This window comes from Homo sapiens, chromosome 11 (assembly GCF_000001405.40).
Source record: "Homo sapiens chromosome 11, GRCh38.p14 Primary Assembly".
In the NCBI taxonomy this organism is placed as follows: Eukaryota; Metazoa; Chordata; class Mammalia; order Primates; family Hominidae; genus Homo; species Homo sapiens.
Genome location: NC_000011.10, coordinates 45,307,231 through 45,313,230, shown reverse-complemented (window position 1 = coordinate 45,313,230; position 6,000 = coordinate 45,307,231).

Genomic DNA, 6,000 nt, shown 5'->3' with positions numbered 1-6,000 from the left:
TCTATTTTTAAAAGTCTCAAAAAAGAATTCAGCAGATTAGAAGCATTCAGAGTATATTCTCTGATAACTAGAATTAAGCTAGCAATTAATATCAAAAAGACAACTAGAAGATTACCAACTGCCTGGAAGTTAAACAATGTATGTTTAAAAATCCATATGTCAAAAAAAGAAATTACAATAGAAATTAGAAAACAATTTGAAATGAATGACAATAAAGATAAGACATATAAAATATGTGGGATAAAGCCAAAGCATTGCTTAGGGAAAAACTTACAGTCTTTGGTACATATATTAGAAATAAAAAAAAAAGAAGTCAATAGTTTAAATTCTTATCTCAATAAGATCAAAAAAATCCTAAGCTAATTAAATCCAATGAAAGTAGAAAGAGGAAAATAATAAAGATAAAAATCAGAAATCAGTGCAATACAAAGCATGCAATAGAGACAAATCAATAAAGCCTAAAGTTAGTTCTTTGAAAAGATTAGTAAAATAAACCTCTGTCAATACTGACCAAGAACAAAGAGATAAAACTCAAATTATTAATATAAGGAGGACGTCACTACAGATCTTAGACAGAAGTGTATAAGAAGAAGACATTATAAACAATTTTATTTTAAAAAATTTAAAAATTTTGATAAAATGGACAACTTTCTTTTAAAAAGAAATAGACTTGGCAAATGAAGAAGGAAAATATAGAAAATTTAAATTTTCTTACACCTGTTAAGTAAATTGAATCTGTTTATAAAAATATTCCCACAAAGAAAATTTTGGGCTCAAATGGCTTCACTGGAGAATTCTTCCGTACATTTAAGGAAGAAATAATACAAATTTGCATAAATTCTTCCAAAGAGTGGAAAAAGAGAGGATACTTCCCAACTCATTTGATGAGACCAGTATAGCTTGCATATCAGAACTTGAAAAGAACATTATAGGGAAAAATTATAGATAATTCTTTTTGTAAATATTTATACAAAAATCTTCAAGTAGTAGGAGATCAAGTACAGCAATATATAAAGGAATATCACATCACAACACAAAAAGTTAATCAATGTAGATCACCACATTGATAGATGAAAGGAGAAAAAACCATATGATTACTTTGACACATTAAAATTCATTTGACAAAAATTAATAACCATTTATAATAAAAAAGAAAACTCTTAGCAAGCTAGGACTGGAAGGGAACTGCCTAAATTTGATAAAGAACAGCTACAAAAAAACCCTACAGCAAACATTATACTTAATGCTGAATTGTTAAAATCTTTTCCCTCTGAGATTGGGAATAAGACAAGGATGGCTACCATAATGACACTTATTAACATCATATTGAAGGTTCTAACCAATGGCATAAGGCAAGTAAATGAAATAAATAGTGTTAGTATGAGGAAAGAAATAAAACTGCCATTATTTGTAAAAGATGTGATTGTGTATGTAGAGAATTCCAAAGAATCTACAGAGAAACTATTGGAATTTCTAAGCAAGTTTAGCAAGGCCACTAGATTCAAAGCTAACATAAAAACTTAATTGTATTTCTATGTTCCAGCAACAATACATAGAAAACAAAAATTTTAAAATGAATCCTTTTACTGTACCATGGACCATCAAACATCTAGGGATAAACTTAATGAAAGTTGGGCAAGACCTCATCACTTAAAAATGTAAAATATTATTGGAATAGATTAAAGAAGACCTAAATATTGCAAAGATGTAAATTTTTCCCAACTTGATCATAGACATGTGAAAAGGTGTTCAACTATTTTTTTTTTTTTTTTTTTTTGAGACAGGTTCTTGCTCTGTAATCCTGGCTGGAGTACAATGGTGTGTGATCTCGGCTCATTGCAACAGCTGCCTCCCCAGCTCAAGCAATTCTCCCACCTCAGCCTCCTGAGTAGCTGGAACTACAGGCATGCGCCACCATGCCCAGCTACTTTTTGGCCTATTTTGTAGAGTCGGGATTTTGCTGTGTTGCTCAGGCTGGTCTTAAACTCCCGGGCTCAGGCAATCCACCCACTTTGGCCTCCCAAAGTGCTGGGATTATAGGCGTGAGCCATTGTGCCAGGCCAGATATTTGACTTTTATTCATTACTAGGGAATGCAAAATAAAAGCACAATAAGAAACCATAACTAACCTACCAGAATGGGCAGAATTTAAAAGATTCAATACCCATTGGAGCAAACAGAACATTTATACATTGCTAGTGGGAGAATACATCAGTAGAAATACTTTGAAAAGCTCTGTCTCTAATAAAGCCGAACATGTGCCCATCCAATAACCCAGTGATGATGCCCCATTTGGGTAAATACATGTGTTCACCAGGAGATGTACACAAGAATATTATTATCAGCACTATTAATAACAACAAAATACTAGAGATTACCCAACTGCTCACCAAGAGTAGAACAAGTAAATAAATTGTAATGGGTTCACACACCATAAAATATTATACTGCAATGAGAATAAATGAACTCTTGTTACATGTTGTTAGTATGGATGAAATTCTTAATATAATGTTTATTTGAAAGAAGCTAAATCAAACACAAAAGAAGATGGGGGAAACTGTTCTAAATTGGAGGAGATCAAAGACACATAAGGGCATATGTTTGGAAGATAACTGAGGAAATTTGTAAATAGACCATATGTTGGATAAAGTAATTGAATTATTGGCCTAGATATGGTAATGATAATGAGCTTGTGTAGGGAAATGCCTCCATTCGTAGGGGAAGCATACTGAAGTGTTTAGGGGTGAATATCATGATAATTGTAGACTATTTTGAATGATTTGATGAGAGGAAAGTGTGTGTATTTAAAAAGAGAGAGACAGAACCAACATGGCAAAATATTAAAGGTTGGTGAATATAGGTGAGGAGGTACACTTTCTACTTTTCTAGGAGCTTAAAATTTTTTTCTAAAGAAAATTAAAGGGACAGACACATGAAAAAATGCTCATCATCACTGGCCATCAGAGAAATGCAAATCAAAACCACAATGAGATACCATCTCACACCAGTTAGAACGGTGATCATTAAAAAGTCAGGAAACAACAGGTGCTGGAGAGGATGTGGAGAAATAGGAACACTTTTACACTGTTAGTAGGACTGTAAACTGGTTCAACCATTTGTGGAAGACAGTGTGGCAATTCCTCAAGGATCTAGAACTAGAAATACCATTTGACCCAGCCATCCCAGTACTGGGTATACACCCAAAGGATTATAAATCATGCTGCTATAAAGACACTTGCACCCGTATGTTTATTGCGGCCCTATTCACAATAGCAAAGACTTGGAACCAACCCAAATGTCCATCAATGATAGACAGGATTAAGAAAATGTGGCACATATGCACCATGGAATACTATGCAGCTATAAAAAAAGATGGGTTCATGTCCTTTGTAGGGACGTGAATGAAGCTGGAAACCATCATTCTCAGCAAACTATCACAGGGACAAAAAACCAAACACTGTATGTTCTCACTCATAGGTGGGAATTGAACAATGAGAACACTTGGACACAGGGTGGGGAACATCACACACCAGGGCCTGTCGTGGGGTGGGGTGAAGGGGGAGGGACAGCATTAGGAGATATACCTAATGTAAATGATGAGTTAATGGGTGCAGCAAACCACCATGGCACATGTATACATATTTAACAAACCTGCACGTTGTGCACATGTACCCTTGAATTTAAAGTATAATAAAATAATAATAATAATAATAATAAAGAAAATAAAAGGGAAAATAAAAGTAATGCACACCAATTAGAGAAAATTTGTAAAATAAAATATAAAGAAGAGGAAAAAGATATAGAAAATCCAAATAGATTCTCCTTTAAAAAACATTGACTCCATTGAGAATATCTGCTATTTCTGCTTTTATTCAATATTGATTTGGAGCTCCTGGTAGCACAGTAATAAAAGAAAAAGAAATGAGTAAAGATGGAACAGAAAGAAAAAATTATCCACATGGAAGACCCAAGAGTATCTACAGACAAATTATAACTAAGAGAGTTTGCAAGGTTGCTGCATATAAAATAAATAAGCAAAGATAAGGCTGGCGAGGTGGCTCATGCTTCTAATCCCAATACTTTGGGAGGCCGAGGGGGGTGGAACACTTGAGGTCAGGAGTTCGAGACCAGCCTAGTCAACATGGTGAAACTCCGTCTCTACTAAAAATACAAAAATTAGCTGGACGTGGTAAGGCTGAGGCAGGGAGAATCGCTTGAACCTGGGAGGCAGAGGTTGCAGTGAGCCAAGATTGTGCCACTGCACTCCAGCCTGGGCGACAGAGTGAGATTCCATCTCAAAACAAAAGAAAAAAATAAAAGACAAATAAACAAAGATAAAATTCACTTTTTACATTCTAGCATCATAGAGCTAGTAAAGGAAATTTTTAAAAGATTTCATTTAAATATAACAACAAAATAATTAAAGACTACAAAAGATATACAAGATCTTTAGGTAGCAAACAATAAAACTTAATTGAAAGACATTCAAGAAGGCCACAGTGATGGAGAGATAAGCTGTGTTCATAGTCGGGAAGATTTAACCACATAAATATATCAATTCACCCCAAATCAATTTCTAAATTCAATTCCAGTCCAAATCCCCAAGATGCTTTTTATTGAACTTGACAAATGGATTCTAAATATATAGAGATATGAAAAAGCAAGAATAGCCAAGACAATTTTGCAGTTAGTGAAGCTTGTCTTGGCAGGTATTAGGATTTTAATAGAAACCCAGTGTGATCGAGAACAAGGAAGGACATATGGATTAACGGAACAGAATAGGGAGTCCAGAAACATAGATGAAAATATTATATTCCCACATGAATAAGGAAACTTTATACTTGCCAAAGATGGCATTGCAAATCAATGTGAAAAGGATGGACTCGTCAATCAACCACGTACAGAAGACTGATTATGGAAAAAGTAAAATTAGCTCCCTACCTCCAACCGAACACAGAAAAAATTCCCACACAGATTAATGACTTAATGTGAAAAACAGAAGTTTAAAACTTTCAGAATAAAATATAGAATATTTTTATTATTTCAAATAGGGAAGAATTGTTTAAAACACAAAAAGCACAGCTATGAAAGAAAAAATGGATAGATTTGATTGTCTTCACACTAAAAGTGTTTGTGTAGCAAAAGTCACCATAAACAATGAGAAGACATGAGTCACTAATTGGGAGAGGAAATCTTCCATATAAATGACAAAGAACTAGGATCAGTGTTATATAAAGAATTTCTACGAAGCAAAGAAGAAAAAGATAGTAAAATTTGGCAAAAACCATAAAAAGACGTTTCTCAGAAGCAGCAATATGAAACGTATCTATGAAAAGATGATCAGTATCCTTCATAATTAGGGAAATACAAATCAATCTCATTATGAGTTTTTATTTTACCCCCATTATTGGCAAAAGTTAAAAGTCAGATAACACCAAGTGATGGTAAAGATAAGGAACAGTGAAAACTCTCTCTTTCAATGCTAGAGGGTGCAGCTTGGTTTATGATAACTTAAGGTGTGCATCTCTTACAACCTTGCCATCCACTCCTGGGTACATTCTAGAGCAAACTCTGGCACAGAAAGAGGACATATAAGAATACTCAATTCAACATTGTTTATGACAGTAAAAATTGGAAACAACTTTTATTACCCATCAGCAGGAGAACAAATAACTACTTATGGTATATCTGAATAATATTAATAACATACCATATACCACTGGGAGTGAGTGAACTAGAGCTATAGACATGACATGGATAAATCCCACCAACATAAAATTGGAAAGACTGCATACAATAAAGAATGCATACAATTAATATATAGAATTTAAAAATATGAAAAACACAGTATATAAAAACACACATATGTGTTTCAAACACAAAACACACATGAAAATAAATAACCGGCAAATTCCAGACTTCCCAGGTTACCTCTAGAGAGAAGAAAAAGATGGCAGAGAGGAGGGGCTTTAAGCTATATCTATAATGGTTTCTCTCTTA